This window comes from Homo sapiens, chromosome 11 (assembly GCF_000001405.40).
Source record: "Homo sapiens chromosome 11, GRCh38.p14 Primary Assembly".
Lineage (NCBI taxonomy): Eukaryota > Metazoa > Chordata > Mammalia > Primates > Hominidae > Homo > Homo sapiens.
In genome coordinates this window covers 43751948-43776692 of record NC_000011.10, presented here as the reverse complement: position 1 = coordinate 43776692, position 24745 = coordinate 43751948, and the positions used below count along the sequence as shown (strand labels likewise).

General features: G+C 37.6%; 1 protein-coding gene across 7 annotated transcripts in view, besides 1 other annotated feature; it reads right to left on the bottom strand.

Moving 5' to 3' along the window:
• Positions 1 to 24745, bottom strand: part of HSD17B12 (hydroxysteroid 17-beta dehydrogenase 12) — a 299895-nt gene that overhangs the window by 79923 nt on the left and 195227 nt on the right. For all 7 annotated transcript variants that reach the window (XM_024448573.2, XM_047427074.1, XM_024448571.2 and 4 more), the window contains one exon: positions 22572 to 22647. In XM_024448573.2, coding sequence (XP_024304341.1) covers positions 22572 to 22632 — 61 coding nt within the window. In that variant the 5' untranslated portion in view covers positions 22633 to 22647. The remainder of the gene's footprint in view (positions 1 to 22571; positions 22648 to 24745) is intronic.
• Positions 17467 to 17667: a silencer, noted in NCBI's record as "peak1263 fragment used in MPRA reporter construct". NCBI's record gives its function as "represses an SCP1 promoter by STARR-seq MPRAs in K562 erythroleukemia cells {active_cell/tissue: K562}" and the evidence as "EXISTENCE:reporter gene assay evidence [ECO:0000049][PMID:32103011]".

Below are 24745 nucleotides of genomic sequence, written 5' to 3'. Positions count from 1 at the left end.
GGACATAGGCATGGGCAAGGACTTCATGTCTAAAACACCAAAAGCAATGGCAATAAAAGCCAAAATCAACAAATAGGATCTAATTAAACTAAAGAGCTTCTGCACAGCAAAAGAAACTACCATCAGAGTGAACAGGCAACCTACAAAACGGGAGAAAATTTTCGCAACATACTCATCTGACAAAGGGCTAATATCCAGAATCTACAATGAACTCAAACAAATTTACAAGAAAAAAACAAACAACCCCATCAAAAAGTGGGCGAAGGACATGAACAGACACTTCTCAAAAGAAGACATTTATGCAGCCAAAACACACATGAAAAAATGCTCACCATCACTGGCCATCAGAGAAATGTAAATCAAAACCACAATGAGATACCATCTCACACCAGTTAGAATGGCAATCATTAAAAAGTCAGGAAACAACAGGTGCTGGAGAGGATGTGGAGAAATAGGAACACTTTACACTGTTGGTGGGACTGTAAACTAGTTCAACCATTGTGGAAGTCAGTGTGGCGATTCCTCAGGGATCTAGAACTAGAAATACCATTTGACCCAGCCATCCCATTACTGTGTATATACCCAAAGGACTATAAATCATGCTGCTATAAAGACGCATGCACACGTATGTTTATTGTGTCATTATTCACAATGGCAAAGACTTGGAACCAACCCAAATGTCCAACGATAGACTGGATTAAGAAAATGTGGTACATATACACCATGGAATACTATGCAGCCATAAAAAATGATGAGTTCATGTCCTTCGTAGGGACATGGATGAAATTGGAAATCATCATTCTCAGTAAACTATTGCAAGAACAAAAAACCAAACACCGCATATTCTCACTCATAGGTGGGAATTGAACAATGAGAACACATGGACACAGGAAGGGGAACATCACACTCTGGGGACTGTTGTGGGATCGGGGGAGGGGGGAGGGATAGCATTGGGAGATATACCTAATGCTAGATGACGAGTTAGTGGGTGCAGCACACCAGCATGGCACATGTATACATATGTAACTAACTTGCACATTGTGCACATGTACCCTAAAACTTAAAGTATAATAATAAAAAATAAATAAATAAATAAATAAAAAAGAAATAAATTTGAGTTGCAAATAAAAGTGGATTTAGAAAGCAGAACTTCATAGAATGGAATATAAACTTTGTGTTCACAAAAGAGTTGAAACTTAAAAAAAAAATTCTTAAAATTATTTGTTCAAAGAGTTCTCTGGATCAGGAGCCACCAAATGATCCCCGACAGCACGCTCTGTAGTTGGGCACCTGGATCCAAAACCTGCATCTGTCGCTCATCAGCAATGTGATCCTAGGAGTATGTATTACTTTTCCACTGCTGCATCACAATTACCACAGAACTTGGCTGTTTAGAACAATATATATGTATTATCTCTCTGTTTCTGTAATGTAATTGACTCCGCTGTTCATGGTCTCATCAGGCTAGGATTTCATCTAAGGCTCAGGCGCCACTTTCAAGTTCACTGGTTGTTCACAACTCAGTTTCTTGCAGTTGTAAGACTGGGGCCCTCTGCTCTTAGAGACCACCTGCCATTCCCCGTCACATAACCCTCCCCACAGGACGGCAGTTTACTTCTTCAAGGTCAAAATATGAGGATTTCTCCTGCTTCAAGTCTCCACTTGGGCCCTCTTTTAGAGTGCTCACCTGATTGGGTGAGGCCCACCAGAGATAATCTCCTTCTTGGCTAACTCAAAGTCAACTGATTAGGGACCTTAATAATATCTATAAACTCCCATTGCCTTTGCCATATAATGTAACCAATCACAAGAATGGCATCCATGATGCTCACAGGTCCCACCTAAACTTAAGGGAAGGGAATCATATGGGGTGTATATACCTGAAGGTGAGAATCTTGGGGAACATCTTAGAATTCCACCTACCTTGGAATTCTTACCCCTCTGTATCTTACTTGGATCATGTCTCAAATGAGAATAATATAAGTACCAATCTCAAAGGGGTTTTCAAGGATTCAATGAGTTGATTTCTATAAACCTCTTCGAAGAGTCTCTAGCACATTTAATTGTTATAGAAATAATGACTTGATAAAGATAAATAAATGAAAAGAGTGGTCCATGGGTTGTTGGACCCTCAGTTTTCTTTCATTCCAATTAGGGCTGATGTAAAATTACAAAGTCTTGGCCAGGCGTGGTGGCTCATGCCTGTAGTCCCAGCTCTTTGGAAGGCCGTGGGGGGCAGATCATGAGGTCAGGAGATCGAGACCATCCTGGCCAACATGGTAAAACCCTGCCTCTACTAAAAACACAAAAAATTAGCTGGGCGTGATGGCATGTGCCTGTAATCCCAGCTACTTGGGAGGCTGAGGCAGGAGTACCGCTTGAACCTGGGAGGCAGAGGTTGCAGTGAACCGAGATTGTGCCACTGCACTCCAGCTGGGTGACAGAGCGAGACTCCATCTCAAAAAAAAAAAAAATTACAAAGTCTTACATAAAACATCTTGGTTTTCTTTAAAAATTCTTTAAAAAAATTGGAAAATGTGGCACCCCTGAGCTTGCCCTACAGCGTAGTAACAGCTAGAGCTGACACCTTTACATGGGGCATGTGTTCAGTTTTGCCTCACCCCAGCCCACTTAGATCATTCCTATCACCAGCCTGGTTTCTATAAGCATACACATATGTGACCTAGGATCTACCTGGATCCCTTTCAGGCTATACCCGATGTACAACAGAAACAGAAAAGAGAGGCATAGAGTAAAATATATTTTCCAAAGACATTTAATGTTAAACTTAAAAACATAAAAGGGCAAAAAGCAAAAAATATACTTTCTATTCCATTTTCAAAAAGTCAAAAGAGAAATAAGCTAAGGAATCAAAATGTAGACATCTAGGAAAAACATTTTGTAGGTGGTATATACAACAAAAACTTGAGATTTAAATGTATTCCTTCCAAGGCCATGAAAAATTTACACTGCACTATGAACTTTAGGTGATAACGATGTGTCAGTATAGGTTCTAATCTAACACTCTGATGTGGGAATTTTATAGTAGGGGAGGCTGCATACATATGGGGACACGGAGTATTTGGGAAGTCTCTTTACCTTCTGTTCAATTTGCTGTGAACTCAAACTACTCTAAGAAACAAAGTCGATTTTAGGCCAGGTACAGTGGCTCACTCCTGTAATTCCAGCATATTGTGAGGCCAAGGTGGGAGGATCACTGAGGTCAGGAGTTTGAGAGCAGCCTGGGCAACAGAGCAAGATTCCAACTCTATGAAAAATTTAAAGATTAGCTAGCATAGTGGTGTGCACCTGTAGTGCTAACTACTTGGGTGGCTGAGGCAGACCTGCTTGCGCCCAGGAGTTTAAAGTTACAGTGAGCTATGATCACACCACTACACTCCAGCCTGGGTGACAAAGCAAGACCTTATCTCTGAAAAAAATTTTTTTAATTCTATTTTTAAAATGAATAAATAAACCACAAAATATTTTTCAAATCTAGTAAGATAAAATGTTCTTAATAAAATATTCAAGAAATTTCTGAACATTTTCAAAATGGCTTGAAAGTTTGTGGAGTTTTTTGTTTTGAGACAGGGTCTCACTGTTGCCCAGGATGGAGTGCAGTAGCGCAATCTCTGCTCACTGTAACCTCCACCTCTCACGTTCAAGTGATCCTCCTGCCTCAGCCTCCCAAGCAGCTGAAACTATAAGCACGTGCCACCGCACCCAGCTATTTTTTTGTATTTTTGTAGAGATGGGGTCTCACTATATTGCCCAGGCTGGTCTCAAACGCCTGGGCTCAAGCGATCTACCTACCTCGGCCTCCCAAGGTGCTGAGACTACAGGGGTGAGCCACCATGCCTGGCTGAAAGCTTTTTCTTTTCCCCCCAAATCAGGTGAAAATCTGTTAATCTAAAGAAAACTCATTCACAAAAAAAGATTAGAAATAGCTCACATTCCCATGATACTCTGTTCTATTCAAGAAAAAGTAACCATTCCCATGGACTTATTTTCCATTCATACTGGATCACAAGCTAGTACATCGGCATTTTACTTGCTTTTTAAATATATTAACACTCCTAAAAGTCTGTGCAGCAGTACTTGATTTCTTTCATCTACCAAAGCAGTTGCATTGTATAAAAGTCCCAGAGGCAATGTTGCTATGTAAAATGATGATTTAAATAACATTAAGCCCTCCTTGCAAAAGTCATCTTGTAATTGTGCCAAGAGAAAATTCAATTAATAATGTTTTAACACTGTGCATGAAGGGGTGATGGAAAGAAGGCAATGCCAAAAAAAACCCCAAAATTTTTAACTCATCATTTGCTGAGATAGTTAGTACACACCAACTTAAACGAGCACACCTATTTGTTCTATGACATTTTCAAGAATGAACTTTTAAGAGAAAACAGGAGTAGGGGGATTTTATGATGGCTTATTTTCCAATTAATGCAGTAAGCTGCAACATATTTACTCTCCATCAACAGGATCTTTAAAATGTACTTTATGTCTCCTCACTATTAACGACTCAACACTTGGAACCATGCTAAATGAAGGTAAACTTCCACATGAACCAACAGATAAAATTTTGTAGGTTGAAAACTTTAAAAAGCAGTTAAATAAAAAGGTTAGATGTTCAGCTTTCGAGAGAGACAGAGATATATATATATATGCAATTACTTGTAAAACTTATAAAAACTACCAAAATAAATGAAAATAGTTAGATTTACAGGTCTCATCAAATGTTTTTGGTTTTGTCTTGTTTTGTTTTTAAGGTGACAGTTTATAGAAGAAACAAAGGTGCAAATTCTGAGTCTGCTACCATATTTGTAATATGATCTTGAGAAATGTACTCGGTATCTCAGTACCAAAGATCTTGAAAGAAACAGCAATGCTTTATACATGAGAAAGAGACTATCAAGAATGTGAGGCCAGGCGCAGTGGCTCACACCTGTAATCCCAGCACTTTGGGAGGCTGAGGTGGGTCGATCACTTGAGGTCAGGAGTCCTAGGCCAGTGTGGTCAACATGGTGAAGCCCTATCTCTACTAAAAATACAAAAATTACCTGGGCATAGTAGTGTGTGTCTTTAATCCCAGTTACTGGGGAGGTTGAGGCAGGAGAATCACTTGAGCCCGGGAGGTGGAGGTTGCAGTGAGCTGAGATTGCCCCACTGCACTCCAGCCTAGGTGACAGAGCGATACTCTGTCTCAAAAAAAAAAAAAAAAAAAAAAGAATATGAGTCCACTCCTACATATATATCCAACAGAAATGAATGTATATAATGTATATATGTGCTCCAAAAGACATGTACAGTATTGTTCATAGTCACGTTATTGATAATAGCCAGAAACTGGAAGCAACCCAAAAGTCCATCAACAATTGGATATACAACTAAATTGTAATACATTCATAAAGCGATTAAAAGGAGTGAATTATAGCTACATGTAAAAATATGGATGAATGTCACAAACATTAATGCTGAGCTGAAGAAGCCAAAACTCAAAAGAAACTATACTGTATCATACAATTTCTATAAAGTCCAAGAAGTCAAAATTAAATGATAATGTTAGAAATTAAGATAGTGGCTCCCTCTGGGGAGAAAAACAAAAAGTAGTAGGGAGCGTGTGATTCTCTCCCTCTCTAATCACTCACTAACCTGTACATGCGTATTTTTGTGATTTTCCTATGTCCGAAGTTTACATTGTTTTAGTATTCATATCTATAGATATTTGTTATGTGACAAAAGCAAAATTAGTGGAGAATATTTATAAATATACCATAATAGAAGAAATAAATTTCACTGAAAATAAGGCAAATCCTATTACTAAAATGTTCTATGCGTCTTACAAATATTCTGAAATGGCTTGCAAACAATATAGAATTTCTCTTTAGATGTCCTGCAAGGCTAAGAGGCCTTAAAGGATAATAAAGACTGCAAACTTGTTTTTCTTTTTCTTTTGAGACAGGGTCTCACTCTGTTACCCAGGCTGGAGCGCAGTGACGAGACAGTGGCTCATTGCAGCCTCAACCTCCCAGGCTTAAGCAATCCTCCACCTCAGCCTCCCCAGTGGCTGGGACCACAGGTGCACACCATCAAGCCTGGCTGATTTTTGTACTTTTTATATTTGTAGAGACACGGTCTCCCTATGTTGCCCAGGTTGGTCTTTTGAACTTCTGGGCTCAAGCCATCCTCCCACTTTGGCCTTCTCAAGCGCTGGAATTACAAGTGTGAACCACTGTGCCCGGCAGAGAGTTAAATGTCATCAGTGCCAAGTCCATTACTTAAGCAAGTGAAGAGGTCCTAATAAAAGCAAGTAGGTGCTGCACTATATGAGTGGGCTGGGCTAACTTGACAGGAGCATTCCCATCTAAAGGACACAGCTCCAGTGGATTGCTGCCCTGCAAGAATGCTGGGCCCAGGGTTAACAGATCCTGTAAATTTTCAGAAGAAAATATAAATTCAGATTTGAGTAAGTGAAATGTACTGATTTTTAAAACAAACAATCAGCTCAACAAAATTTGTCTATAGTGTAACTGTTTGAGACATATCAGATGGAGAGGAATGCTATGGGAACAAGTCCTAAGGAACCAGGAAGACACTGGGGATCAAGATACCAGGGAAAAGTTAGCTTTTAGAGAAGATGGCATTTCTTTCTCTGAGGATAGAGGGCTAGGCACGTAGAGACACACTTTGAGTAATATAAGTCCTTTGTTGGAAGGAAGCAATAAGGATTGGTAGAGAAAATGTGGAGAATTTTCTGAGCAATGATTTTCACTTTATTGCAATAGGCCCTTCTATCGAAAGAATACAAAATGGAATTTACAAAACTGATCAAAGCAAAATAGCCAAACTGAAGCAGGAGGAAAGCTAGAGACTCACACATGAGGGTGGCCCCCACATTGCTGGTCTAACATCCAGGCACATAAACCACTAGTAAAAGGCACACAAAGACTGAATAAAGGCTTTCTAGAAATGGGTAGTGACAGCAGCATCCTCCATTCTATTTCTTCACTTCAGAAATAGAAGTCAAAAACACTGATTTTAAGTGATTCATAATTGAAAAACAATGTCATACATTCAAGAGGCCTTGAGATTTTAGATTAATACCATAAAGGAAAACTGGAAGGGGGTGAACAGTTAGAAATATCAACATCACAATCTAGAAGTGGAATGAGAACTAGACCTGCAATTAGGTGATGGGCAATTGAAGCTCAGCTTTACTGTGCACTGGGTGACGTTGCCAGGTCTCAGTGTCCTCATAATTGCTCTAAGAATCAACTATGGATGCTTATTTCATTATATTTTCAGGAAACATTTAAAATATTACTGTAAGACTATTTGTTTTTAATCAAAGCTTGTTTTAGAATATAAAAACTGTTTAGCTTTCTTTAGTTACTAATTGTACTGATTTAAAGCCACGCTTAAATACACAGTAGGGGCCAGCATATTTAAGGCAGTGAGGCAGTGGCTCACGCCTATAATCTCAGCACTTTGGGAGGCTGAGGCAGGCGGATCACTTGAGGTCAGGAGTTCAAGGCCAGCCTGGCCAATATGGTGAAACCCTGTGTCTCCTAAAAATACAAAAATCAGCCAGGAGTGGTGGCAGGCCCCTGTAATCCTAGCTTCTTGGGAGGCTGAGGCACCAGAATCACTTGAACCTGGTGAGAGGTGAAGCCAGCTGAGCTTCTGAGTCTGGTGGGGACTTCGTGAACTTTTCTGTCTAGCTAGAGGATTGTAAATGTATCAGTCAGCAGTCTGTGTCTAGCTAGAGGATTGTAAATGCACCAATCAGCATTCTGTAAAAATGGACCAATCAGCACTCTTTAAAATGGACCAATCAGCACTCTGTAAAATGGACCAATCAGCAGGACATGGGCGGGGCCAAATAAGAGAATAAAAACTGGCCACCAGAGCCAGCCACGGCAACCCGCTCTGGTCTCCTTCTGTGCTGTGGAATGTTTGTTCTTTGACTCTTCACAGTAAATCTTGCTGCTGCTCACTCTTTGGGTCCACACCACCTTTAAGAGCTGTAACACTCGCAGTGAGGTCTGTGGCTTCAATCTTGAAGTCAGCAAGACCATGAACCCACCAGAAGGAATAAATTCTGGACCCATCTGGAGGAACAAACTCTGGACACACCATCTTTAAGCGCTATATAACACTCAAGGGGAACCTCTTTGGCTTCTTCATTCTTGAAGTCAGTGAGACCAAGAACCCACCAGAAGGAACCAACTCTGGACACACCAGGAGGCAGAGGCTGCAGTGAACCAAGATTGTGCTACTGTGCTCTAGCCTGGGGTACAGAGTGAGACTCTGTCTCTAAATAAATGAATACAAGGGCATGGCTATGTCTTAAAAAGGAAAAATTATTGTATATATCAATTAAATAATATAATAACTCCAACAGGCAATTGCATTCAAACATAGTCATGCTGCAAATTTAATTTAGTTTGTGTTTTATCTGTTGATGTGATGTAATTCTGACATTACGTTTTGGGGATGCACCTTCCAAAAGTTATTCAGTTACCCACCTACAATACTTAAAGTACACTTAAAAGCATGGAGTCACGGAGAACACAGCACAAGAAGTCAAAGATTAGAACTCAGTTAGTTGTGCCATTCACTGGATGTGAGTTGGTCTCTCCCCAGACTTCGTTTTCATATTTATAAAATGAGAGTATTGATCCATCAGCAGTTCCTAAACAGAGATGCCTTTTAAATCATGTGAGGAGTATGTTTTCCAAACATGCCTGAATATGATTAAGTGTTCCATAAAAGTTAAATGTATTTACATCTGTGACTTAATACTTTCATCAGGTATTGCAGAATGATTGCGTCTTAGATTTTGTACATCTCTACAGCATTAAACAGAATGAAAGCACATTAAAAGTTGATTCCATATCATTTTTTCTATTCTTAGTGGCCTGGTGTTGTTAAATATTAATTCTATTGGCTTTTAATAGCAAAGAAATGAAATAATTCAAATATGTGAAAATTCCTATTGGTGTTAATGAATTCCTTTTCTCTTTGATTCTAGTATTAGACATAACGCTAGGTCATTTAAATTACCTAATTGGTTTGTAGTTATTTTAAAAATTAGCATGTAACAAAAATATGCATTTAATAAATAATGGCAAAATAAGATGATCAAAACAACTGGTAATTGACAAGAAAATATTTAACTTCACTTGATGGAAAAATCAAGTTAAAGTGAACCTTTTCAATAAAAGTTTCAAAGTACTTTCTTTTCATGATAAGAAAGGAAGCAATCCCCACATAAAACTACTAAATTTTATAAATGTTTCCAAGAATATGCCATTCTACAAATTCTTTTATAGCTGAAGGTTGTACCTCAAATTCCAATTATCCACTTAGAACAACAACCAAATTTTAAAAGTGGGAGGCGAAACATTCTCTACTTAAATGGTACTCATTTAATAACACCTTGGTCCCACATTTCCCAACCAAAAAAAGTGTTTTTTTTTTTTACACAAAAGTCACTGAACCATCAATAATCCAATTGGAAAGACCCTTTACTGTTTTAAAGAAACCATACAAACATAGGCAAATATGTTGAGAGGTACAGCTAGTGTCTGGCCACGGTGGAGTACACTCCCACATCCCTAATGCCAGCTGTAGAACAGCAACATTCAAGCAGCTGCCTTAATTGGAGATGCAGACCAACACATGCTAATTTAGCTGGGCCAACTAATTGGTGGGTATGCTACATTTTTAACAAAATATCCACCCATATTACAGATGTTTTTCTCTATCAGAGTAAACGACTGGTAACAAACAGTAATGAAGTTGAAATAAGCTACACTTAGAGAAAACGTTTAGTTAGACAGTTTTACAACATGGTCTCATATTGGCTTAAAAAACCATGTGTGCCAAAATTGGACCATAAGCTAAATTTCAAAATATCTTTCTGTGCAAGAGTAAGAACATGAGGAAGTTTCACAGTAGTTCTTCAGTCACCAAAACAATACTTACTAAGTGCCCACACCCATTAAACCATGCTAGGCCTGGTACAACGAAATACAAAAGAATTGTGTCCTTGTCTCTCTTTAAAAGTGTGATGTAGACCAAACATTTATGGACACATGCAATGATGGTAATATTTACCAGGAAATCTATGATGGTTAACAAAGGAGGGGAGAGGGACTTCTGCTTCTGGCCATGACGGTGTAACAGAGACTAGATTTATTCCTTGGCCTTAAACTAAAAAACTGGACATCACTTGACCAGCCTGAACAAAAATGGACAAAATATATGAAGCAATGGTTTCCAGACATTGGACAATAAAGAATGCATGACAGAAGTCCCTAAGAGAAAGAAAACAAATGAGGTGAGCCCTATGACCCTAGCTTATAGTCTGGAGAGATTTTCTAGACCATTATGAGGAGAAGAGGAATTCAGATAGAGCCCAGCAGTCAAGTCTGTCTACTAATTAGTAGTCTACTAATTGAGGAACTCGTAGACAAAACACTAAACACATTAAAATAATTATGATAGATATATTCTATATGTTCAAGAAACTAGAGAGTGAGCACGTTAAGAAAAGGCGAGGCCGGGCACGGTGGCTCACGCCTGTAATCCCAGCATTTTGGGAGGCCGAGGCAGGCAGATCACAAGGTCAGGAGATCGAGACCATCTTGGCTAACATGGTGAAACCCCGTCTCTACTAAAAATACAAAAAATTAGCCGGGCGCAGTGGCGGGCGCCTGTAGTGGCGGGAGGCTGAGGCAGGAGAATGGCGTGAACCCGGGAGGCAGAGCTTGCAGTGAGCCGAGATAGTGCCACTGCAGTCCGTCCTGGGCAAAAGAGTGAGACTCCGTCTCAAAAAAAGAAAAGGTGTAGAAGATATAAAATTGGCAGAAATTTTAATACAGAGAGAAAAAGGACAATGTCTGGATTTAAAATACACTAACAGAATTAACAGCAGATTAGACACTGCAGAAAAAAACGTTGGTGAATGTGAAGGCATATAAATAAACACTGTCCAAAAATGAAACACAGAGAGAAAAGAAACTCAAATAAAAACTAAAGACAGCATCAGTGGGTTAAGACAACTTAATATATACGTAACTAAAGTCCCAGAAAAAGAGTGTGAGATGAAGAAACTATCCGAAAACTATGAACACTTAAATTTAAGCTTAACAAACTCCAAGTAGGGAAACTACAAGAAGAGGCAAAATAATAATTAAAAAAAAAAAAACTTAAGTGATAAAGAGAAAAATCTTAGAAGTAACCAGAAAAGAGAAAAACCTCACATTATGCATGGTGATAAAATGGTAAGAATAACAGCTGACTTCTTATCAGAAACAATGCAAGCCAGAAGACAGTGAAGCAAAGTAGTTTAAGTACCAGAAAACAAAAAGAAACCATCTATCTATAATTTTATACCCAGAGAAAATACCTTTCAAATGTAAAGGGTTTTTTTTTCAGATATACAAAAAGAATGAATCATCAGCAGACCAGACTACAAGAAATGTTAAAGGAAGACCTTCAGACAGGGGAAAAGGGAAATAAAAGATTCCTGATTGAAATCATTTACATAAAAGAATGAAGAGCATCAGAAATGTTAATATGTATGTAAATATAAGACTTTTAAAAGAAAGAAAAAAAGATATACAGTCAGCAAACCGAGGATAGAAATAAAATTAGAATTATAAAAAGCATGCAATTCAAAAGCAGGCAGAAAAAATGAAAAAGGGAACAAAGAACAGACAGAATAAATAGCAAACAAAAAGCAATTGGTAGGTTTTAGCTCAATCAATAATGACACTGAATGTAGATGGTCTGGGGACCCCGATTAAAAGGCAGAAACCATCAATTTAGATAAAAAAGCGAGATCAACTCTATGCTGTCCATAAGAAACCCATTTAAAATATAAAGCACTTATAGATTAAAGGAAAAAGAAATGCCATGCTAACACTAATCAAAAGAAAGCTAGACAAAGTAAATTTCCATCAAAGTAGATTTCAGAGCAAAGATTATTACCAAGAATAAAGAGGGTCATTCCATAATGATAAAGAGTGAATTCATCAAGAGGACATACAACTCTAAATGTTAATACACCTAATAACAGATAAATAGAAAAATTGTGAAGGACAAATCCATAATTATAGTCGGTGATTTCATTGCCCCTCTCAAAATAATTGATGGAGAAAGTGGAAAGGAAACCAATAAGGATACAGAAGACGTGAACAATACTGCCCATCAATTCTCTCTTTCAAATTTGGAAAAGCCCCTGTTCTGGATAGCTTATAGAGACTTAGTAAGTGCTTATTTAAATCTAAGAAGAAAAAAACTCAAAATTATTAGACAAGGACAAAACTTCTGAGGCTTTAAATGTGCTGGCAATCTCAGACAAATCATTCCCCACAGAAATGGCCAGCTCAAACAGTGATAGTTTTTAAAATTCAGATATTTGGCTAACAACTAGTCATTATTTTAAAATGTACTAACATAAACTTTTGAAACATTTCTAATATTGGTAAATAAATTCAGAGTTATATAAGAATCCAAGTTTCACATTACACTCCTAATTAAGGTAAATCCCTAACCAAATTAAAACTGGTTTGATAACTTTAATTTTAAAAATAGCTATATATCTTCTGATATTATCACAGTATGAAATATAATGCCAAGGCTTGACACTTGTGAACTTCAGACATTCCCCAAATCATTTAAACTAAGTAACTCTTCACGCCATCTGTGGAAAACTTTCAAATATCACCTCTTGGACAAACGTGGTATCAACAATGATCATGTTGCTCTGCAATGTCAACTTAAATATAATATCTATAATTCTTAACTGACCTTGAAATACTATACAAATATCACAGCAAGTGAAATAAAGAGAATCTTTGGTTGCCCTGGACAATTTCTAAAGATTAAAATTCATACAGAAAACTCCAGTTAGGATGGAGAACTCAATGTGGTATGTGCAACAACTTGAAGAATAATCACAGAATGTAAAGTTAACGTATTTTAAGCTAGTTGAAAGTATTAACTTGTCATCTCTCTCTCTCTCTATATATATATCTTATATGTAGATAAGATATATATATATATAAGATAACCTTATATATATATATATAAGGGTATAAAATATATTGAAATCAACAAAGAAAGCTTATGAATTAAACTGTCTGGAACCAGTTGTTGAGAAGAAAATTGATCTTTGAGAATATAGTCTTCTCTTAATGATAAAGCTATCAAAATTACTATGCGCCTCAGTATCCAGCCTGGCTAGTAAAGGTTCCTTATCTCCTTAGAATACTCTCACTTCCTAAGAGCCTGTTAACTTTTTGAGCTTTTGTGTTGACTTTTGTCATGTTGTTGAATGATTTTCGAACAAAAGTTTCTTGTTTCTGTATATGCTAGATTTGCTAATAACCATTATTTCTTGTAGCTATGCTTTAATTGCTGTCATACCAAATTAAGACTATAATCATTTCTTGTCTTGGGTACCTAAGACTTATGCTTATATGTCAGTATAACGATTAGTCTCTTCACAAATTTGGGCCTCAGATGAAGAAAAATAAAATTGTTAAGATATACTTTACACCCAAACTATCTTCAGTGCTTCTTGATTAACCGCTATGCAGCACTACTGAGCAAGGAGGACATTAGGTGTAACTAGATACATAGCATATTCCACATCTTTAATTAGTTCAGCTCTCTTATGAGACCTGCTTTGTTTATCAAGCCCATGATATGGGAAGAACTATTAAATCAATAAGAGAAGCTCAACACCCTGGTCAATTATGTGTAGGCAAGGTGTAATTAATAATAAATATGGCTCAACATGTACTACTTTTCAGGATGAATAGAAACATATTCATGATTCTATGCAAAGACTGGCACAACTATGAACAAATTGATTGCTAAGATTACGTTATCAACAAGTACAAAATACTCTTAATAGTTGGCAATTTAAAAACACACATTATGAAAGTCTCTGGAGGTATCAATTCCTTTAATGTCCATGATAAGGCTCATACCCTCAGGATAATCACTGACTAAATCATATTAATTAGTTCCATATTATATCCCACTAGGGGATTCCATTCTGACAGTGGTAATTATTATAATAAATTAACCATCAGTCTTATTAACAGGTGGTTGCTACATTTCCTTCAAGCTTGTCTAAGGGCCCCGGCCATAAACTGAATGTCAGAAAATAGAGTCTTTAGGAAGATCATCAAAAGACTAATTAGCCTCAGCAAGGGCTGTATCTGGACTCTTGGCTATTACTGATGCTGCAGAGAATCAACTCATTCTCAGTGTAAGTCAGGCTTCCTGCTCAGTGTAACCCAACATTGCCACAAAAGCAGACAATCTGACAAATTGTACCAGGAAATTGAGTTAGTATTTATAGGACTCTATATTCCAAAATTAAACATTTTGTAAAAGCATGCTGCTGACCAATGGAACAAAAATTAATTTTGCAAGACTAAATAGAACCAGAAAAAACTTAATATTTTGAGAAAACGTCTTTTTTTTCTTCTTAATTTTTCACTAACCCTCATGGTAGTTAGCCATACTTGGGCAAATTGCAATGAACGCTCTTGGAATTCTATGTTTTTCCTACTGATCCCACAGAATTCAGGAAAAATATTCCCTGGGAAACTTTAATATAGCTTATAAACTGGCAGATTGTATTTTCCAAATCCAGATCGTATTTTCCAACAATATCTTCTATCCCATATGTTCTTTGCCAAAGTTACCATGCCACTCCCTTATCAAATGGTAGAGTCTATTCCTCTCCCCTTAAATCTGGGCAGATTCATGACTGCTTTGACCAACAGAGTATGGTAGTAATAATGCTACGTGAATTCTGAGACCAGGCAACAAAGACATAAGCCTCTGCCTGGTTCTCTTGGAATGTTCACTCTGGGGGAATATAGTTACCATGTGAGAAGTCCAGTTACCCTGATATGGCTATGCTAGAGAGGCTACATGTAGGTGTTCTAGTCAACAGTCCCAGCTAAGTCCAGCCTCTGGCCATCTCCTGCCAAGTCACTAGACCTGTTAAGAGAAGCCATCTTAGATCTTCCAGACCAGACCATCCGTCAGCAAAATATCACTGAGTGACCTCAGTAATGCCATGAGGAGCAAAAGGATTGTCTAAGTCCTGACAAAATTCCTGACCAGAAAAACTTGTGAGCATCTAAAATGGTTGTTCCTTTACCACAATAAGTTTGGGGTGGTTTGTTACGCTGCAACAGTAGCTGAAATATAAACTGGTAAATCATTAGATAAATTTAAAGATGTTAATTATATAGAAAATACAACACATATTGATTGGCCTTGTCTGTAAAACTAATCAAAGCAATGGCCAAATATTCTACAACATGCCTTTATTGAGTTCTTTTATTTTACATGACAATGTAATTATTTGCATTGTCTCAGTAAGAATCTATCCTTCTCCCTATCAGGATATAATTAGATAAAACAATTTTGTAACCATGACCATAACAGAAATGTTTCATTTAATGGTAAATTTCATTTAATTAAGCATGACAAGCCCACTAGTAAGGAACAAGGATTCTCTTATGTGGAAACAATGCTTCAAAGACCTTTCAGGAAACTATCCTGGGACTAGCTCACTGCCTTGTGGAGTCTGTCTTACAGGCAGTACAGAACGTCACTTTCTGGAAGGCCAGGAACATTGACAAAATTGTAGAATATCTCTACAGTTACAGGTACTATGGGCAAAACCAGTAGAGGCAAAATGGATGGGTTTTATTCCTGGCCCTGTAACATATAAACTCTACGAGCAACAAAGATATTTCTAGCATTAAAGAAGCAGTTTTAAAAATATGACTCATGGGGCTATATGAGATTAACTCTCTAATCCTAACATCATGTGGTTTTAGTTTTATTAGACATAAAACGAAAAGGTCTACAGGTGTTTACTAATGCCTCCTGTTGTACTTATGAAAACAAAACAAGCTAAATATAACAAGGCATCGTATTAATGGTATTATTACTGCATCAGAAAATTGTGGAACAAACTTATTTGGTCAAATTCATATCTTAACTATAGAAATTTAATTCCAAGTAAGGCCTGAAAAAGTGAAATGGACATTTCTTACCTTATCCTACTCTTCTGTTCACTATAGACCAGTAAGATTTACATTTCTAAAAAAGCATTGCATTTCAAGAGATAAAGCCATGGAGTTACAGGACCATCCAAAAGCTTTACACCCTGAGATAAGTTACAAAAAAGAGAAATCTCATGGTTTGATTTTTTTAAATCCAAGAAAGAAATATGCAGTTTTAAAAATCAAAGTTTATTAAACTGCATCCAATCAGAAATACTGACCGTGGGCTGGGCGCAGTGGCTTACATGTATAAGCCCAGCACTTTGGGGGGCCAAGGTGGGAGGATCGCTTGAGCTCAGGAGCTGGAGACCAGCCTGGGTAACATGGCGAAACCCTGTTTCTGCGAAAAATACAAGAAAAAACAAACAAAAAAATTAGGCTGGGAGCAGTGACTCAGGCCTGTAATCCCAGCACTTTGGCAGGCCGAGGTGGGTGGATCACATGAAGCCAGGAGTTCAAGACCAGCCTAGCCAATATGGTGAAACCCCCATCTCTACTAAAAATACAAAAATTAGCCAGGCATGGTGGCACGTGCCTCTTATTCCCAGTTACCCAGGAGGCTGAGGCACAAGAATTGCTTGAACCTGGGAGACGTAGGTTGCAGTGAGCCAAGATCGTGCCATTGAACTCCAGGCTGAATGACAGAGTGAGACCTTGTCTCAATTTAAAAAAAAAAAAAATCAGCCAAGTGTGGTGGTACAAGCCTGTAGTCCCAGCTACCTGGGAGGCTGAAGTGGGAGAACTGCTCGGGCCTGGGAGGTTGAGGTCACAGTGAGCCATATTTGGGCCACTGCATTCCAGCCTGCGTGACAAAGTAAGACTCTGTCTCAAAAAAGAAAAAAAGAAAAGAAATGAAACGAAAAGAGAAGGAAGAAAGGACTGTAAAATAATATGAATTATAAATATCACCATCTCTACAATCTGTGAACCAACAGGTTGTTCTGAAAGCTAGTCTCCTTTTTATTATGCTTTATTGCAAATAAAAACTCAGCTCAGTGTTAAAAAAATTTCTAGTTTTTTTCTTTGATGAATCAAAATTGGCAAAAATATTTAATATATGAATAATCCTGGCTAAGAATGATAATAAAATAAGCTTATTACATGTGTGATGGCTTTCAGCTTGTCTTAATTAAAAGGGTGACAGGTATCCTTACAAAGAACTGTAATTTCATCAAAGCAGTCAATCCTGACAAAGCACTTATCCATTGTTGGTGAAACATTTAGTGTCCTACTAACTACATATAATCCATTCAAAATTTTTCTTAAAAATTTTGACACTGATGAGTAGGCTACCCTCCACATTCATAAGGAATTACTTCTTGATATAAAGTGCCCAAGTTTATATGATGACAGATTTCGAAGGTGAGAGCAGCCAAAAAAAAAGTCCTTGATTTTTTTCACTTGTCAAGTAATTTCCTCATCAATCCCCCATTTCCTCTTTTTGTCTTTCAGTCACACAGGGAAGTAAGAACGATGAGTTCAACCCATTGGAGTGAGTTTAAATGTTGGACTAGAAGAGACAAGTTATCCTGGTTAAACTAAATTGTGTGACTTCTGTTTCCTGACTGGGCGCTGCCTGATCCACGAATTAGTTTCAGGAGTAGGATCACAAGACAAACTTCAAAGGACTTTTGCACTGGTTTGATTGTGTCCTTGGGCTTAGACATAGTGTTAAGCCCCTTCCCAATAGGAAATGGGATACTAGCAATCCATTATGCAATAAGTGGTATGACAGTTCATCAAATTAACCCTGGCTGTTAATTGTAATGAAGTACCCACTGGAGAAGTGCCTTGAGGGACCAAATGGTGGCTACATTTGAGTTTGGCAGAAATGATGAGTACAAAGACTGTGCTAAGCTGTGGCTTCTTCTGAATATACTGGAGCACTTATAGAATAAAAACGGCAAGTTCAGATCACTAAACTGTCAGCTCACATTTACCATGAGAGAACCAGAGAACTTCCGTGGTAGCCCCAGTAAAAAGTTTTATGTTTTATAGCCATGGAGTTCACCTTGCTAACATCAGATTTAAATGTGCCAGTTGCAGAATTACAACTTAAGTTGAATTCCACAGACACCTAGTCTCATTTGAAAGCACTGAATGAGAAAAAGTGTGACCCTGAGATTTGGGATGGGGATATTTGGTCAGACTCAACTGAAACTGAGAATCTTGGACTCCCAAGCTACTCTGAACCTCCCTTTCCAGTGGAAATAGTACTAGTCTGTTCTCCTGCCTGTGTCTCCCAAGATTGGCGTTCTCTGGCTTGAAGATCCTCTAATAACCCCACCACAACAGTAAGGGCAGTTTCCTAGCAAAAGAATTCCTCTTCTCCTCAAGACTTAACTCAAATATCCCTCACTGACACCCACAACAGAAAACAATATAATACCAGATTGGGCCAAATATTTTTATGATTCACTTACCAGAGATTTAGGATTTAATGTTTAGTTCATATAGTTGGTTGACTTGGTTGGCTGACTGAAACTTGGAACTTGGACTCCATAATAGGCTACAGTTTAATGAGACTGGGGGGCCATAAATTCCCTTGCATAACAAGGCTTAAGAAAATAGAAACGTTAGTGCATGTATCCTATGCAACTTGCACACACACAATCCCTCCACCATTATACCCCCAAATGGGCCCAGAGGATAGGTCTTTCAGTAAGGCTCCAGTTTTGTTACTGGAGTGCTGTTATATGGGCAACAGGCCGTTATTCTAGCCCTTTTATCACCTTGCGAATCGCAAAACTCACCATGCTGCAACAAAGTAAGAACTTCTCTATTGTTATCTCTCTAGCCCTTTGTTTCCTTTGTGGCATTCAATATAGGCTGCAATTATTTATTTGTCTGTTTTTTTTGTGTGTGCTTTTTTTGGTTTGGTTTATTTGTTTGTTTTTTACCTATTTGTTTTTTTTTTTTTTTTTTTTTTTTTTTTGAGACGGAGTCTCGCTCTGTCGCCCAGGCCGGACTGCGGACTGCAGTGGCGCAATCTCGGCTCACTGCAAGCTCCGCTTCCCGGGTTCACGCCATTCTCCTGCCTCAGCCTCCCGAGTAGCTGGGACTACAGGCGCCCGCCACCGCGCCCGGCTAATTTTTTGTATTTTTAGTAGAGACGGGGTTTCACCTTGTTAGCCAGGATGGTCTCGATCTCCTGACCTCATGATCCACCCGCCTCGGCCTCCCAAAGTGCTGGGATTACAGGCGTGAGCCACCGCGCCCGGCCTACCTATTTGTTTTTACTGTCTCCTGCACTTAAGTTCTTTGAGAACAGGGACTGCATGCCACCTTGTTCACCATGGTATCTTCACTGCCTAGCACAGTACCTGGTACACAGGCATTCAATAAAGATGTGTTAAAGGTATAATCAAAGGAATGCAGAGTTAGTCTGTCTTTGACAATATTAAATACTGGTCCTTCTTTCTCCTGGAATAAATATGTTCATGCAAACATTATCCTCCCAAAGAGGTGATTTACATCTCAGTTAAAAATCTGTCTTAACTTATAAATCTCCTCTATGTATTTTTTCAGCTTAGAACAGAAGACATAGTCTGCTGATATCACCTCTCCTATTAAATTCATATTATGCCCAGAAAAACATTTTTCAAAAATTTTAACAAGGATAAAAACCCATGCCTTTTAATAAAGGTCAATTCAGTGTCTTTACCATCTGTTCCTTCATGAAAATGTTTGAACAGAATCCTCTCTTTCTCCAGAATCACATTTCTGCCAACAGTCACGTGCCACCTCATATCATGAGTTAACCAAATTCTCAAATATCATTAAAGCATATCTTCTGAGTCACTGAGCAATCTTTGTACAGGCTGCAGTACTTGCTGAAAGTGTCATGAGGTAGCTTTTCTTGTTTCTGTATCGAGTAGACGGTAGATTCATTCATATCATAGCATTTCAAAATGCAACATTCCATTTAGTCAAAAGCATCTACTTTCTGCCTATGTACCTTTATTTCTAGCAACTAGTAGATGCATTCATTGAGAGGCAATTTCTAGACACACCCACAAACACAACATTTTTTAAATCACTTTAAGAGTTATTATATACAAGACTACAAGAAGCTAAGAATGAAACAGTGCTAAGATCCAGGCAGTATGTTAAATTCACCTACTATCTCAGTAACTACCTCAGGCTCATTAGTGTCATGGCTTAATTCAGATTCAGACCTCAGCAAAACTGTAAAATACTGTATATCTTGGCCCTTTGGGGTTGCATTTACATAGCTGAAATCTTGAATGTTAAAAGCTTCAAATGCCAAAGATATATTGTATATCTATATACCACATGCTCAGCTTTGTAAAGATCTGTACTCTCAGCAAGGTTAAAATAATTAAAAAAAAAAAAAGATATAACATATTTAATATTGGGAATCTCCAATAAGGCGCTGTGAATGGTTTGGCTGTGTCCCCATCCAAATCTCATCTTTAATTGCATCTCCCATAATTCCCATGTGTTATGAGAGGGATCTGGTAAGAGACAATTGAACCATGGGGGCGGTTCCCCCCATACTGTTCTCATGGTAGTGAATAAGTCTCATGAGATCTGATGGTTTTATAGGGGAAACCTCTTTCACTTGGTTCTCATTTTCTCTCTTGCCTGCCACCATGTAAGACGTGCCTTTCACCTTCCGCCATGATTGTGAGGCCTCCTCAGCCATGTGTATCTATTAAACTTCTTTTTCTTTACAAATTACCCAGTCTCAGGTATGTCTTTATCAGCAGCATGAAAAACAGACGAATACACTCTGTTTTTTATCTAAAGATGAAGTGAAGCTATCTGTCCAATAGGACCAGCTATGGTCTGGAAAGAAATAGTAACAAAATATACCTCATAAGTATGTTGGAAGAATCAAAGGAGACAATACATGTGAGAGAATGAATAAATAATAAGGCACTATATAAATGTTAGCAGTAGGTGGTAATGTTGGTAACAAAATATAGAAGAAATCCTCTCTCATCAATTCTCATTGAAAGAATTTGGACGATCTGTTAGCTGAGAAGTTAGTTAAAACAAGGACTCATAGAGATAAATACACATGGTAATCATTTTATTTTCACTTAAACCATGTATAAATGTAATTCATTCACCAATCCTCTGTGTAGGGCCAAGACCTTGTCTTTGAGATTGGATCTGCGGACTTGAATTCCAGTCTTTCTTGCATGCATCACACCCATATTCTATCATTTATGATTACAATTTCAGTTCTAGTAAAGTACAGCACAAACTTCAACACATATGAAACAATCAGGAGAGCAGATTTCTTTTTTGTAAGTTCTTCCAATATTTTACATTTGTCTTTGTTCAACACTAATTTGACGGCCAATTTTTCAAAGAAGTAATTTTACTCACTTTTTTTAGAGCATTCAACTTAGTTTTTATAGAACTAACTCTAGCTTTTACACTAATAGTTCATCATTTTACAGAATATTTAATAAAAAATATACCCAACATAAGTTTGGAAACAAACACAAATTGACTCTTAATAAGTAAACAATTTGATTTGTGAGGATAAAAGTATATAAGCATTATACACAGAAGCTTCCTGGCCACAAATGGTCAGCAAACTGGGGACATCAGTTAGTATGTTTTACCAAACAAATGAACAGCATTGGTTTATCCATCTGGTTGATTGAGTAGAAGTTAGTTAAGAGTCTTTGCCATATTGTAATTCAGGTCTCAAGTATAATTGCCTAAGAAGAAAGTTCAAAAGATTTTCCCTGTCACATGGGTATTGCTATCTTTTCTATTTTTCCTAACACATATGTGTTATACATTTAGAAACACTGAGATAAAAAGAGTAAAAAACATTCAGGAATACTGAAATGAAGTCACAGCAAACAAGTTTAGACATTTCAGCAGAATACGATAAAATAATCAGATAATTTGACTACTGACAAGACAAAAATAAATTAGTAAAAGACATTTTAAGCAAATTACAATCACCCTAAAACAATTTTTAAAAAACTTTTTTTGTTTGTTTGTTTTCTGAGATGGAGTCTCACTCTGTCACCCAGGCTGGAGTGCAGTGGGACTATCTTGGCTCACTGCAACTTCCACCACCCAGGTTCAAGAGATTCTCCTGCCTCAGCCTCCTGAGTAGCTGGGATTACAGGTGCCCGCCACCATACCCGGCTAATTTTTTTTTAATTTTTAGTAGAGACGGGGTTTCACCATGTTGGTCAGGCCAGTCTCAAACTCCTGATCTCAGGTAATCCACCCGCCTCAGCCTCCCAAAGTGCTGGGATTACAGGCGTGAGCCACCGCACCCAGCCTAAAATTGATGATCCATTTTTAAAGCATCCTGTGCTTTTTCATGCTCTTTAATGATATCTCTCCTTGAAAAAGAAGTTTCCTGAACTAGAAATAACTATGTCAGTATCGGATAACTGCTTGAAAACATTAATTAGCTATGTATTCCTTTTGTTTGATGTGAGAACTTACTTATTTCACTGGAAACCTGGTCAAGTTTATCCTTTGATCTGCTGATAAGGACAACCTTCATTCCATGCTTTGCTAACTGAAACAGTAAAGGAGATTTGAATCACACCTGTGCATGTCACTGAAAAACATTAATGAGCTATAACCCCCATTTTAAGAAAACCTGTCCAGATGATAGTTCAAAATATAAACCCAAGTGTAATGAAGACATAATCCAAAATAGAGATTTTACCAAAAAAATGCCCCAAAAAGTTATCTTTCTAAGCCAAGCTAGTATTTAAATGTGAAAGGGTTTTAGAAGGAGGGAGACTTTTACTTTTTCATTTTATATCATCTATACTATTTGGGTTTTTTAAACCTTTAAGTGTCTACCACTTCTATAATTTAAAAATTAGCTTTAAAAAAGTTTTATGCCAAGCACAGTGGTTCACGCCTGTAATCCCAGCAATTCAGGAGGCCGAAGTGGGAGAATTGCTTAAGCCCAGGAGTCCAAAACCATCCTGGGCAACATAGTAAAATCCCATCTCTACAAAAAATTAAAAAAAAAAAAATTTTTTTTTTTTTTTTAATTATCTGGGTGTGGTGGCACATGCCTGTAGTTCCAGCTACTCAGGAGGCTGAGGTGGGAGGATCACCTGAGCCCAGGAAGTTTAGACTGCAGTGAGCCGTGATTGCACCCACCACTACACTCCAGCCTGGGCAACAGAGCAAGACTCCATCTCAAAAAAAAAAAAAAAAAAGTTTTTGCTGCAGAATGGATATATAAAACAAACATCAGAGGACTGGCAAAGGAAACTACTACTAAAATTTTAAAAATTCCTAAAAACATAATTATTTTTAAAATTTTAAGTTGAGCATTATACTTTATGGACCATGGCAAACTAAAGAAGTTAATTGAATAAATAAAGAATTTCCTGAGGAACACCTTCTGTGTACATACCCAGCATATGTAAGTGTTGTACATAATGAAAAAGATTTACACAAATGTGGTTACTATCCCAGGACACATAAATATAGTAGTAGAGGAAAAAAAGCACTAATCTGCACAAAACTATTTAGTGAAATATTCTAGACAGAATATAAATGAGCAATAAATTAGGTGCTATCAACTAAAAGTGATTTAGCAAACTAATATTCCAGTCTTAAATCCTAAAGTCAGGGTTTATTAAGTAGTGAGTGATATTGCAAATGAAGCTATGGAAGAACATTTTTTATAAAAATAAAAAGGTTGGTGATGATTTGCGAAATTAATCTGTTATAACACCACTAAAAAAACCATTAGCCCATACTGATACTTTCTTTTAAAAAATTAATAGGGCAAGAGGGATAAGGAAAAGCTTTTATAGAAAAACACCATCTTAATAAATGTAGGAGATATAGCATTAGAAACAAATCACTTATTTTTTTTTTTGAGACAGAGTCTTGCTCTGTCACCCAGGCTGGAGTGCCACGGTGTGATCTCGGCTCACTGCAACCTCCACCTCCTGGGTTCAAGCGATTCTCCTGCCTCAGCCTCCTGAGTAGCTGGGATTACAAGCACCCACCACCATGTCCAGCTAATTTTTGTATTTTTAGTAGAGATAGGGTTTCACCATGTTGGCCAGGCTGGTCTTGAACTCCTGACCTCAGGTGATCCACCCACCTCAGCCTCCCAAAGTGCTGGGATTAAAGGTGTGAGCCACTGCACCTGGCCAAAAATCACCATTTTTTAACCACCATGGTAATAACCAATCTAGGCAAAAACTATCAATGAATCCTAACACCACTGGATAAAAGATTTTTGGGAAATAATATATTTATACAGCCTCAAAGTGTCATTCCACATATTCCTTATTAATTACGTTTATAATCAATAATGGGAAAAATGAGACTTCTTTTGCCTCCTAATAAGATGAACTCAGAAGGATAAACCTGTGTAGCCTTCCTGATGAAAAAATGCTTTTCCTGAATCTAATGAGAAAACAATGGGACAAATCCAAGTTTGTCTGCAAAACAACTAAACTGGATTTTTCAAAAATGGCATTCTTATAAAAGAAAAATAAGGCTAACTTACTCTTTTAGATTAATGGAGACTAAGAGACATGACACCAAATGCAATGCATAATCCTTACCTGGATCTTGGAAAAACAACGATTAAAAAAGAGCTTAAAAGGATGTATTGGGGCAACCGGAAACCT